Source organism: Homo sapiens, chromosome 16, assembly GCF_000001405.40.
Source record: "Homo sapiens chromosome 16, GRCh38.p14 Primary Assembly".
Lineage (NCBI taxonomy): Eukaryota > Metazoa > Chordata > Mammalia > Primates > Hominidae > Homo > Homo sapiens.
The window spans coordinates 88,492,385-88,505,938 of NC_000016.10; the positions used below are offsets into that span (position 1 = coordinate 88,492,385).

General features: G+C 65.1%; 1 protein-coding gene across 5 annotated transcripts in view; it reads left to right on the plus strand.

Moving 5' to 3' along the window:
* ZFPM1 (zinc finger protein, FOG family member 1) overlaps positions 1–13,554 on the plus strand; it is an 85,263-nt gene that overhangs the window by 40,616 nt on the left and 31,093 nt on the right. The gene's annotated exons all lie outside the window — the stretch shown is intronic.

A 13,554-nucleotide genomic window follows, 5' to 3' on the forward strand; every position in this document is an offset into this window, starting at 1 on the left:
TGAGGCGGCCTGGGAGGTGCCGTCCTCCTTTCCTATCTGGGGTGGAGGGAGCACCAGCTCGGACCAAGGGGCACTCTGCACCTTGTGGCTTTGGGGAGGTGACTGGGCCCTGAGTCTGTTTCCCATCTGTCCTGCATGTGGATGGGACCCGGTCACGCTGCAGAGCCCAGAGCCCAGGGCCCTCATCTGCTGGCTGGACCCGGACTCACAGGTATCCTGGGAAACCCCCCAACCCCGACCCCGGTTAGACCCATTTCCCAGGGAAAGCGACTGGGACTTGTGGACATCCAGAAGGTGGACGGTGTTAGCCCGGCGGAGAGGCCCGGCCTTGGTGCCTCTCCCAACAGCTCCACCATGGGTCCAGCCAGGCTGCCCTGTCCCTGGTGGTCCCAGACTCCCTGGAGGCACTCATGTAACATCAGGCAGAGAGGAGGCCTCCCAGCCCCTCTCCTTCTCCCAAGGGACACCCAAGAGGCCCCCAACACCCGCTGCACACATAAGTGAGTTCCTGGGCACACAAGGACTTTGTAAGCACCGGAGAGCTGTCCCGGGGAGCAGAGACCTGTCCCAGGGTGTGGGGAGCTGTCCCAGGGAGCAGAGAGCTGTCCCAGGGTGTGGGGAGCTGTCCCGGGGTATGGAGAGCTGTCCCGGGGTATGGAGAGCTATCCCGGGGTGCGGAGAGCTGTCCCGGGGTGCGGGGAGCTGTCCCGGGGTGCGGGGAGCTGTCCCGGGGTGGGGGGAGCTGTCCCGGGGTGGGGAGAGCTGTCCCGGGGTGAGGAGAGCTGTCCCGGAGTGAGGAGAGCTGTCCCAGGGTGCGGGGAGCTGTCCCGGGGTGGGGAGAGCTGTCCCACGGTGAGGAGAGCTGTCCTGGGGTGCGGGGAGCTGTCCCGGAGTGAGGAGAGCTGTTCCGGGGTGGAGAAAGCTGTCCTGGGGTGTGGGAAATTGTCCCGGGGTGGGGAGACCTGTCCCGGGGTGGGGAGAGCTGTCCCGGGGTGGGGAGAGCTGTCCCAGGGTGCAGGAAGCTGTCCCGGGGTGCGGGGAGCTGTCCCGGGGTACGGAGAGCTGTCCCGGGCTGCGGGGAGCTGTCCCGGGGTGGGGAGAGCTGTCCCGGGGTGGGGAGAGCTGTCCCAGGGTGCGGGGAGCTGTCCCGGGGTGGGGAGAGCTGTCCCGGGGTGGGGAGAGCTGTCCCGGGGTGTGGTGAGCTGTCCCGGGGTAGGGAGAGCTGTCCCGGGGTACAGAGAGCTGTCCCGGGGTGCGGTGAGCTGTCCCGGGGTGCGGGGAGCTGTCCCGGGTTGCGGAGAGCTGTCCTGGCATGCACATGGCCATTGTCTTGACTTCCCATGATCTCCTGGCCCTGTTACTGCCCCCACCCCAGCCCCTTCCTGGCCCTACCTGATACCTGGTGGTCCCAGAGCCCTAAAAAGGATCAGGGAGGCACTCAGTGGGTGCTGGTTTTTGTTTTCAAAAGTTCTGAGCTCTGTCTGCTGCGAGCGGCTTTGCTCTCGAGCGCCACGGCTTCAAAGGAGGGCACCTTGAGCTGTTCTGAGACGGGAGCACAGGCCCTATAGTCCAGCCTCGCTGAGTGACAGCAGGCAGGCCGCCTGACCCCTCCAGGCCTCAGTTTCCGCATCTGTAAAATGGACATAAGGAAAGCCACAGCCGCAGGAAGCCTCCACGAGGAGGGGGACTGCGGAGTGTGTAGCGCAGAGTGTGGCTGGAGTCACTTCCCAGACCTCGGCTGCAGGCCTTGAGCTTGTCGGCTGCCCCGGGGCGGCCTGGGTTATCTCGGATTGGGGGGTGCGGGCAGGTTCTACGGGGAGAAGCCGCCATCTGCAACCTGGAACTCCCCTTTCCGCGGCCAAGAGGCGGCCGAGCAGGGGCCGGGAGCAGCCACCTTGCGCTCCCCCGTCGGTGGCAGTCACCATGGCCTCATGGCAGGAGGAGCTCACCCCCCAAACCCCGTTACCCTCTCAGCACCAGGGAGGCTTCCAGGTGGAAGCCGGAAGGGATCCACCAGTGGGGTTGTTGCAGTGCGGCCCCGCTGTCCAAAGCAGGACGCCCGGCCGGGGTGAGAGGCCGCGGGCAGAGCCTCCCGTCACAGGGACCAATCACAACACACCAAACCCCGCCGTCACCACCCACAGCAAACCCAGGAAGCGAGGGGGAAACAGGGAGGGGGCTGATTCCAGGAGGGGGTGTCCGCGGGCCTCCAGGGTGAGTCGGGGCCCTGCAGTAGGGAGCAGAGGGTGCAGTAGAGGGCGCAGCCCTGCACGGGCAGGAGGCCGCAGGGCCTGAGTGGGGGGCGAGGCGGGCGTGGACAGGCAGGAGTGCGGCCCGGTCACTGGGCCTGTGGCCTTGGACTCCAGTGAGGCAGCAGGAGGAGCCGGCAGGAGGAGAGAAGGGCTGGGGTCTGAGCGTGATCCCAGAAGTGGCCACAGAGAAGGGACCTCGGGTGGAGGCCACCAGGGCCTGGACTCCCTCCTCCTCCCTGGAGCCACCAGCCCGGATGCGAAGGGAAGGATGGGCGGCAGGAGGCGGAGAGCTCCTATTTTATCTTTGAAATGACCTTGTTTGCCGGAGGGGCGGCTGCTTAAGATTCTGCTATGCAAATGGCTAAGCCATAATCTATAATCCCTGCACGCGCTCGGGAGCAGCTCGGCCGTGGCTCATCCTGCAGGCCCGTCCCATCGTGGGATGTGGGGCTGAGTCCTGGGCATCCCACTCCTGCCTCGGAAAATGGAGGCGCTCAGACGTGCCAGCCCCACTAGGACTTGGAGGGGTGGAGCCGGGGTCCCATTCGACTCCCTGGGGTCCTGGGCTGGCCCATTTCACGGGCCCTGTGTGGTCGTCTGCCCAGAGAGTAATCGTGTAGGCTGGGCCACAAGGAAACAGGTGCAGGAAAAGGCCGAAGAGCGTGGGGGCTGGACCCTGGAGTGTGGAATCCCCTCCCCTGGAACAGGCCTCCGCCACCTCCCTCTGTGAGGCTGGGCAGAACTGAGGGGAACTGGGCTCAGAGGAAAGCTTCTCGCCCAGGGCTACCTGGGGCACCGAGGAGGCCTCACTTGTCCGTCCTTCCTCTGGCCCCCTACCTGCCCACCTGTGCCAGTGCAGAGGAGGTGCCTGGTCTGCTGGGTGGGCAGAGAGCGAGTCTCCCCCAGCTCTGCCTGTGTCTGTCTGGGAGGCAGCGTGGTGCAGGCACCGAGGGTGGGAAGGATGGCCTGAGACCTGACGCTAAGGGCAGGACCGTGCCAAGGGTGCCATGCTAGGCGGGGAGTGAGGAGGCGGCCTCAGAGGCCCACAGGACTTGCCCACCACTCTGTGTGTGTGAAGTAACATGAGGGAAGCCGGGGCTCTATGGCCCCGGATGGAAGGTGAGTGGCCAGGAGCCCACTTGGGGGCCAGGGTGGTGGGGTTCCCTTCACCAGGAGGCGTCTCGGGGCCTAGAGCTTTTTCCTGGTAACCAAATGTATGAAACAAAATGCAACTGGGCCATGGGGAGGGGGGCATGCTAAGGCAAGAGGAGCACAGGGGTCCGCCTGTGAGGTGGGAGCTGGGGTGGTCCAGGGCAAAGCGTGGCCGCATTGCCCACAGGCTCCGGGGCAGGCTCCCAGCAGTGACTCCTGCGGCTCTCACCTGAGCCTGGGCTCCATGTGGCCCCACGGCCATCCTTGGGCAGGGCAGGACACTCCATCCCAGAGTCCTCTGGAGCCGAAGGAGGAGGCTTCCAGAGGGCACCTGGCAGTGGCATCCACTGCCCTTGGGTGTCAGGGAGAATTTTCCTGGTGGGCTCAGCACACATCCCCTGCCTGGCCTCCTGGAAGGGTTTTCCATGAGGAGGGACCAGCCTGGGCAGAGGTGAGAGGCCCAGGATGTGACAGCGGCGGGGCTGGCTTTATCCTGAGAGCACAGGGCTGGGGGTTCCAGGCTGGAGCCTGGCCTTGGAGACAGGCTGGATAGGAGAGGGAGGGCAGAGTGGGGCTGGGTTGGTGCTTGGGGACCTGACCCAGGTGCACCACTGAGGCTCAGCCCTGGCCTGTGCAGTTCCCGGGCAAGCAATCCTCATGAAGCCCAGACCCCGCCCCACCCCCACTGACTCCAGGGGCAAAGTGGGGCCTGGGAAGCTGGGCCTTTGGTGGAGGAGAGGCCTGGGGTACCCTGCGGCTGAGATTGAACAGGGGGGCTCCCCTGGACCCTGAAGCCCCCACCTGGGGGCTTCAGGCTGTGGAACAAAAGTCCCCACCTGCCCTGGCCCAGGGTGGGCCACAGGGGAGAGAAAGCAACAGAGAGGGGGCTTGGGGTGGGGACGGGGACCCTCACCCACACACTGCTGGGCATCAGAGCACACCAGCACTGGTCATGTACACGGGGCTTGAGGAGATCGCCTCTCACTGGGCGTTTCCTGTGAGGGGGGCTCTCGACTCCTGGTATACAGGGTCTCTCACGTCTGGCAGCCAGTCCTGCAGGGGAGGTCTGAGTTGGATCCCACTCTACAGTTAGGGAAACGGGGGCTCAGCAAGGTGAGGTGGCTTCGCCACAGCGGTCCAACCCTGAGTGGACATGGGGCTGGGACTTGGGCAGCGCTGCCTGTGGGTGGGGGGCTGCCAGGCCTGCCCCTGCCCAGGAGCCGCACACACCTGCTCCTGGCTCGCTCCACCCGTAAGTGCCTCAGGACCTGGAGCTCTCCCAGGACCACTATGGACAAGGTGAATTCCAGCTGATCACACAAGTCGTGACTTTTCCATCCCCACTCCATCCTGGGCTCTGATGGCAGAGATGGGAAGGCTGGCCATGTCCCCAGGGCACTGCTGGCCAGTAGAAGGGATGCCCGAGTGTCAGGCTGGGTGTGAGAGATGGGAGGGGCGGCAGGTGGACGGCCCCAGCCCCAGCCCCAGCCCCAGCCCCATTCCAAGGTGTGACAGACACAGTAGAGTGGGGTCGGGTGTGCACAAGGAGCTGGCTCAGGGCCTGAGTTTCAAGTGGTCAGTGGTGGCTGGAACATCAGGGCCCGGGCGGGGATGGGGTTCAGAGGGGTCAGGGTGGGGCTCAGGGCCTGGGCGGGGATGGGGTTCAGAGGGGTCAGGGTGGGGCTCAGGGCCCGGGCGGGGATGGGGTTCAGAGGGGTCAGGGTGGGGCTCAGGGCCCGGGCGGGGATGGGGTTCAGCGGGGTCAGGGCGGGGGCTCAGTGCCAGGGACTGCAAGGAGCTGCCTCGGTTTTCTTGGCTGTAAAATGGGTACCCTGAAGGGTTTTGTGGGGGGTGTTCGTGCCGTGAGCGATCCGGTCCAGCATCCCGGCGCTGGGAGCCGGCAGCTGCTGTGAGGCGGGAGGAGGGCTCTGTCCACTATTTCCTGCCTGAGGCCCACGAAGGGTCCCCCGCCCCAGGGTCCCGACAGGGCCCGCCCGAGGCTGGGAATCCTCACCCGAGTGTGTGAGGGCGTCGGGCTGGTTATCTGGGCCGAGCTCCATCTGACTAATCTCGCCGGCGGAGCGTCTACGCAAACCTCAAGGCCTGCTATCGGGTGGAGGCTGAGGCGGGGGCCCGGCCTGATGGACAGCAGGGAGATGGGCCGATAGGCGACTGGCTCCCTCCCCACCCGGTGTGCGTGGGTGGGAAATCATTCCAGCTATTCTGCCTTATCAGCGGCCCTGTGCTGCCCCCGATAGCACTATTAGTCTTAGATTAACGGCGGAGGAGGGGGCCCTGGCGGATGGCAGGGGTCAGCCTGGGGTCAGCTCCAGAGACCAGACCCAGTGCTGGGTCAGGAGCCACCTCCTCTGGCTGTCCTGGGGAACACGGACCCACCTGGGGGGTCCCCAGAGGGAGCCTCAGACCCCGCCCCACTTCACAGCTGGGCAGAGGGGGCCCTGGGGAGCCCGAGACAGAACCCGAGGAGGGGCTGTGTGTCTCGCAGCCACGCCCCTTCCCCGGAGGTTTGCTGAGCACTTTGGGGCCAGGCGCATATCAGGTGCTGGATAGACAGGGATGGGCCTGCCCTGGACGTGTATGGTGGAGGGACACGGGCCCTGGAACCAGAAAGAACATGGGTGTCCTGCCCGGGAGCAGTTAAGAGAAGGAGGTGGCATGTTCATTCAACCAGCGTGTGTATGAGGGACGTGCTCAGGCCAGCATAGCCCAGGCCCTCCGGGATCTGCTCCTTGGTGAGGGAGACACCCCAAATCATGACGAGGTAGGAACCCCACATGTCCGAGGGGCAGGCAGAGCCGGCCTCGCTGAGCCGACGTTTGAGTTCCAAATGAACGAGGGGCGTCTGGAAACGGTGTCCCAGGCCGAGGGCGCAGTCCCGGAGCCGGGGGCACCCCTCTAATCTGGAGTGATCGCAGGGGTGAGGCAGCAGTCAGCTCAGAGCCTGAGGCCCCATCACATTGGGCCTGCGGCTGCAGAGGGTGGTTATCTTGGAAACTGAGTTCAGAGGTCGCAGGCTCTGGCTGGCCTGACCCTGGGTCGTTGGCGTGGACACCTTGGCTGCCCCTGGCCCTGAGCCTTCCCATGACACCCTTCCCTCCCCTCTCCCAAGCACTGGCCCCAGGCCTGGGTGGGGGCTGCACCCGGGTCCTGCCTGCACCACCAGACCCCAGGCCTGCCTCTCCACGCAAGGCCCTGTGGGCGGAGCCCCTGGACAGGGTTGAGCTTGGGGCCAGAGCCATCTGCAGCCCCCGAGGCCGGCTCCCCTTCCTTCATCCCCAGCTCCCCAACGGCCCCCGTGGCTCCCCCATGACCAGGCTGCCGGCACCCTGGGGCCTGGCTGACCTCCCGCACCCACCCCAGCCCTGGCCATACAGAAGCCGCCTCCTGAACCTGGCCCTGACTTCAGCCTCCACCCCGGGAAAGTCACCTGGGCCTCGAAGTCCCGAAATCGCAGGCAGAGCCGGCACTCACTCACTCCCTTGTACTTCCATTTATTGAGCACAAGCTATGTGCCAGCCCTGTGATAGACAGGGGGATGCAGCGTGAGGAAAACAGACCTCCTCCAGAGCAGCCGCGGAGGAGAAGAGAGCAGTCGTGGGGGCCGCGCAGCGGGTGGGAGACGCAGGCCAGGGCAGAGGAAGCCGGGTACAGAGGCCTGGGGTGGGGCCGGCCCAGCTGACTTTGGGAGCAGCGAAGGGGCCAGGGGGCAGGCAGGACCGCGCACGTGGACAGGGCGGAGCCTGGTGCCTAGCAGGCTGGACACGGAGCAGGTCTGCGTGCAGTGTGGGGGACCCCACCTGGGTGGCCCCTGAATCCCGCTGGCTGGGTGGAGGACGGCTCAGGGGCAGACAGAGGGAGATCTGAGAAAGGGCTTGGCTGAAGTGGGCAGTGTCCCCATTCACAGATGGGAAACTGAGGCCAGGAGAGGTGAGGTAGCCACCCCACCCCCATGCTGGGGAGGGGCCGAGTGGGCACAGAGCCCACAGGCCTGCCTCCCAGGGAAGGGCCCAGGCCCACCCATCCAGCCTCTCCGGGTCCAGCCCCCAAGTCCCGTGGGCTCCCCGGCCCCTCCTCGGCCCCATGCCAGCAGAGGGTGAGCGGACAGTGGATGCCCCATGAGGAGCGCAGCCGGAGCCCTGGGTCTCCAGCCATCCTGGTGGTTGGGGGGCGGGGGCCGGGCCTGGCTGCCTGCCGTGCTGCCCTCTGGCCTCACCACCTTCCGGGAGAGGCTATCTGTGGCCAGGGCAGCCTATCTCGGCCGCAGGCGCTAATCAAGCTGGCTTCCTCCTCCGCCCTCCCACCCGGCTTCCTGCCCCGGCCATCCCCCACCACCAGCCCCCACCCAGGCCCCGCCGTTGCCCTACCGGCCCCTCCCAGACATCTCGGGGGCAGGCCCACCAGAGTCACCTGGGCGAGCCCCTGGAGCCCCGGCTACTGCCCAGAAGCTTCCCTCCTTGCCCCTCCTGGGCCTGCCGCATGGCCGGGGACACAGCCAGCTCCCCCCATGAGCTGGTGGCCTCGTCAGGAAGACGGCCACAGGGCGCTCTTGGGAGGACCCTTGGGACAGTGGGCAGGCGCTGGGCAAGCCACAAGCGTGTCGCTGGCAGCTGCTGCCCCAGCTGCCCTTGTTCCCACCACTACACCCGTGTCACCACCAGCGTGGGCACCGTGACTGTCACTAGCACAGAAACAGCGCTATTAGAGAGTGCTGCTGCTGGCCTGGCCGCTGTCACCTTGCTGGTGCTGTCGCTGTCACTCTGGGTCATTCTGTCACCTTGCTAGGACTGTTGCTGCCAGCAGTGCTGTTGCCGTTACTGGCACCAACCCTCCCGCTGGCACAACGGCAGACTCAGCTTCCAGGTGTCACCTCTCTCACCGCAGACCTGGGGCCTGTTGTGCCCTGTTCTGGGCTCAGGGTCCTCATCTGTGAGACGTGGACAGGACAGTTCAGGCTCCCTGGGGCTGCTGGGGCAGGGCAGGGCCCACAGTTTCTCTTTCCCAGCAAGTCTGCGTGGTCAGCTCGGATCTTGGCCACCCTGGGCTGAGCCAGGTCCTGGGCACAGTGCTGGGTCCCTAGACGGCACCTCGGTGTCCTCACCTGACCGACAGGTACAGCGGGCCCTCCCTGTGGGGGTGCAGCCTTGGCTGGGGATATGTCAGGGTCTCTAAGGCTGGCCCCTCCCCACACTGGCCTGACTTCTCCACCTCCTCCTGCCCAGGAGGGAAACTGAGACACCACTGCTGGTGATGGAGGTAGCGGTCATGGATGCGGGGGCCCTCCCGCAGGTGCTGGTGATGATGGAGATAGCAGACATGGATGCGGGGGCCATCCCGCAGGTGCTGGTGATGATGGAGATAGCAGACATGGGTGCGGGGGCCCTCCCGCAGGTGCTGGTGATGATGGAGATAGCGGGTGTGGGTGCATGGGCTCTCCCGCAGGTACTGGTGATGATGGAGATAGTGGGCCTGGGTGCGGGGGCCCTCCCGCAGGTGCTGGTGATGATGGAGATAGCAGACATGGGTGCGGGGCCCTCCCGCAGGTGCTGGTGATGATGGAGATAGCAGACATGGGTGCGGGGCCCTCCCGCAGGTGCTGGTGATGATGGAGATAGCAGACATGGATGCGGGGGCCATCCCGCAGGTGCTGGTGATGATAGAGATAGCAGACATGGGTGCGTGGGCCCTCCCGCAGGTGCTGGTGATGATAGAGATAGCAGACATGGGTGCGTGGGCCATCCCGCAGGTGCTGGTGATGATGGAGATAGCGGGTGTGGGTGCATGGGCTCTCCCGCAGGTACTGGTGATGATGGAGATAGTGGGCCTGGGTGCGTGGGCCATCGCGCAGGTGCTGGTGATGATAGAGATAGCGGGTGTGGGTGCAGGGCCTCTCCCGCAGGTGCTCTTGATGATGGAGGTAACGGGTGTGGGTGCCGGGCCCTCCCGCTGGTGCTGATGATAATGGAGATAGCGGGCATGGGTGCAGGGCCCTGCCGCTGGTGCTGGTGATGGAGGTAGTGGGCGTGGGTGCAGGGCCCTCCTGCCACTGCTGTTTGCCATGGGATCAACCCCAGCCCGCGAGGGGGCTCCTGGGCCGATGAGCAAACTGAGGCCCAGTGAGTTCACGTGGTTCATCCGAGGTGGAGACCAGGCCGGTGAGCCCTGACCTCCTGACCCCAGCCCTGCAAACGCCCCAACCCATGGTTTAACACTCCTAGTAGCTCCTCCACCCCCGACGCGGCTCCACCCGCCCCCCCCCATTTATTTATTTATTTATTTATTTATTTATTTATTTATTTATTTATCTCTCCTCCTTCTCTGCGTGTAACTTTTTATTTCCTCACTGCGCTTTTCCATTACAGCGGCCGTGGACGCAGCTGATAAGATCGGTCCCCGGAGATGGGACAAAGGGGCCGCCATCGGCTCGAGGGCTGGTCATATCCTGCCCGAAAGGGCCGAGCAGGGCCTGAGATGCGGCAAGATGCTATCTCGGGTTTATTGCGTCTCGTGAGGGTGCCTCCCACCCCGGCCCCCCGCCCTCTCCCGCCCTGCCCAGGGGCCCGGGCGCCGGGCACTCAGGACCCACCTCTGCCCCATAGGCCTGACGCCTCTGTGCTTGCCCCTCCATGTCCCCCAACCCCGTCCCTGTGCCCTGTGGGCCGCCCGGGGCCATGGACAGGGTCTTTGGCCCCAGGTTCCCATCTGGATCCACCCTGGAGTCACTGTAGGTCTTGGGCTTGTCCCCAGCCTCCCAGAGCCCCACTGTCCCTTCCCGTCCAGTGCTGCTGGAGGCAGTGGCCTTGGTGACCCCCCCTAGCCGAGGGTCCCCACCTCGCAGGTCGGAGCCACCCGGTCCGGGCTGCCCCAGCGCCAGCAGCTGCTGCTTCCCTTGACTCAGCAGTTGGCTCCTGGGAATTTATCCCAGAAAAATCATCCCGGCATGGGCGGGCTCAGGTCAGCATGTCAAAGATGGCAAGCCATTTATTTTTTTAAATTTTTGCTGTCTTGCCACGTTTCTTCCAGAGAAGGATGTTCTAAGGGCAGCAGAGGCCACGTGGATGCCCGTTTGTGGGTCTCTGCACACACGGTGGCCGGACGGCAGATCCGGGGCTGCCCTCAGAGCGCTCGCCACCCCCACCCGCCTTTAGCTGTCGTTCCTCCAACCCCACCAGCCATGAAGGCCCCTCAGGGCTGGAAGGCTGTGTGCGGTCTCTTCGGCAGGTGGGAGGTGGCAGGGGCGCTGCTCCGCGGGGCAGGGTGGGTGGATGAGCACGGCGCCCCTGGGACAGGAACCCCCACTGTAGCACAGTGCTTGATTCAGGGGCCAGTGGGGACCCCCGTGGGTCCTGAGCAGCGGCACAGGGGAGGGAGCTGTGTCTGGGGGGCCACGGTTCCTGAGTGGAGGGATCTGTGTCTGGGGAGGGGCCCACGGTTCCTGAGTGGAGGGATCTGTGTCTGGGGGGCCCACGGTTCCTGAGTGGAGGGATCTGTGTCTGGGGAGGGGCCCACGGTTCCTGAGTGGAGGGATCTGTGTCTGGGGGGCCCACGGTTCCTGAGTGGAGGGATCTGTGTCTGGGGGGCCACGGTTCCTGAGTGCAGGGATCTGTGTCTGGGGGGCCCACGGTTCCGGAGTGGAGGGATCTGTGTCTGGGGGGCCCACGGTTCCTGAGTGGAGGGATCTGTGTCTGGGGAGGGGCCGGCCTGTTCTGCCTCCAGGGCTCCTCCTGCTTCCTGGTCTTTCCCACCCTCTGCCTGGCCTGCATCTGACTCACAGCCAGCTGCCTCTCTGTGGAGCCAGGTCCTCTCTGACCTCGGTCTTCTCATCTGTGTTGGGGTGATCGGTGCCATGGCAGCACCCTCTGTGGCTTCCCATAAAATCACACGTGACTTTTAGAAGAGGAGACACATTCACAGTTCACGGAAGCACCTTCTGCCTCCGGGACTCACATGGGGCTGGGCTCACCCCGGGGCACAGGCCCTGTACCCCAGTTAGCGCCTCGGGCTGCCAGGCAGATCTTGGGCTCCCGAGGCCTCAGTCTCCCCCTGGTTAGCACCTCCTCTGTGGAGGTGACGAGCCTGAAGGGTCAGTGAGGGCTCAGGGCAGCAGCCTTTTCTGGAAGGGACTTTTCCATTCTTGGGGGTAGCAGTGTCCTGACACTCTCGGTGGGTACCAGCGTCCTCACCAGCACCTGCCTGGGTGTCCATGGCTGCCCTCAGTGGGGGTGGGTGCCTGCCAGGCTGGGTAGATGGTCTCGCCCAGGGCTGAGGCAGTACCCTGGGCCCTCACTCACCCTCTCCCATTTATGAAGCACAGACAGAGTCCCCAGGGGGCAAATGAACAGGCTGAGCAGGGACCTGGTAGGAAGAAAGGGCCCTCAGCGGCATCCAGACCCTGGAAAAACGGGGCAGAGGCCAGGGCGCCCAGGCCGATAGGACACAGATAAGGTAAAGAAAATATGTTCTGTGCAAACAGCTTATCTGACATCCTGTTTTCAGCCACCAATAGGACAAGGCAAGGCTGGGGAGAGCCAGGGACCCCCACCCCAGTTCTCAGGCCTCAGGGTCCCCAAAGACCAGACTACTAGGACCTGGAGGCAAATCAGCTCCCTCTCCCCACTTCCCAGGCGGGAAGACCAAGGCCCAGGACCCAGGGTGTTTAGCCTTCCAGAAGCCCAGAGAGGCCGCCAATCTCCCAGCTTGGAGGTGACATGAGGCTGTGGCTTTCAGACTCCTCAGCCCTGGCGAGGTGCCGCAGAGTGGCAGAGACACCGCCCAGGGTGCATGGAGAAAGAGCACCTCGCTGGGCCCCGTGCACAGACCCCTTAAGGGTACATGGAGGGACATGGCCCCCCTGTGTACCGTGGCGCTCTGCCTGCCAGTCCAGCTGCCCCAGACGGGGCCAAGGTAGTGGTGTCTGAGACCACAGTCCCCAGAGAGCACCATGGAAGGGGTTCAGACAGGCAAGACCTGGCTCCGAGCTGTCCTCAAGGCCTCTGAAAGGGCAGTTCTGGGCCTGAGCACTGCCCCACTGCCCCTGTGGGGCCAGGGCCTTGCCCTTTCCCTTAGAGACACCCCCTCCCCAGGACAGGCCACTGGGCCTGCAGGTGCGAGGGCCCCCAGGTCCCTGCAGGAGAGCTGGGCCCCACCCTGCCCTCCTTGCTATTCCCAGGCGGTCCCAGCTCTGCCATTAGCTGGGGCCAGGGTTCAGCCCGATAAAGATGGGCTGTTGTTCTGTGTCAAAAAATCAATAATTGCAGCGATGTTCCAGGCGATAGGAAGACAAGTTCACAGGCACCAGCTGGCGGGTGGGCGGGGCGAGGCTGGGGGCTGCAGCACCTGGGGCCGGCCCTTCCTGCCTCTCCCTCGCCCGGTGGCTGACGCAGCTGCTCTACAGTGGACGCCAGGCCCAGGCTTGGCCAAGCCAAGCCATGGCCCCTGAGCCTGCTGCTCCTTACTGCCCGTTTGTGGAAGGGCAGCCCAGAGCCAGCTAGGGCCTCGGCGAGGAGGCCAGTCCCTCCCCAGGGTCCTCTGGCTGGGTCTTCTCCCAGGCGGTGGTGCCCTCCTCCTCCAAACACAGGCACTCAGGTCCACGGTGTCCCAGTGCCTTGGGGACACAGCCGTTCAACAGCCGGCCCTGAGGGGCTGACAGTCCAGCAGGAAGACAGAGTTAATGAAATCAAGACCTCTGCCCCCTGGTGCCCTCAGGAGGTGGTGAGCACTCTGGGGACCTGGGAGGCAGGGAGGAGGTGGGAGGGGCCGGCATCGCCCTCCGCACGACGGCTTCCTGGGGTCCTGGCACGGTGCCATGTGGGCTGGCCCTGAGGCATCACCATACCTGGCATCTACCATTCCCTGGAGCCAGCACCCCCTGCCGTCAGCTCCCGGGAACGCAGCCCATGCCGCCTGTCTGCTGACCCCACCCAGGCCCCCTGCGATGTGGGTCCTGAGCACATCTTGGCAAGGAGACCACCGTGCTGGTGGGCGGGTGCTTGGAGGATGGGCACATAGGGCACGAGGCCCACCTCTAGCAGAGAGAGAGCCTCGGCAGGTGCAGCCGCCGGCAGGGCCCCCCCATGGGGCTTTCCAACCACGTGCTCACCCCAAGGACAGGCACCCCCCGCACCCCCAGCCC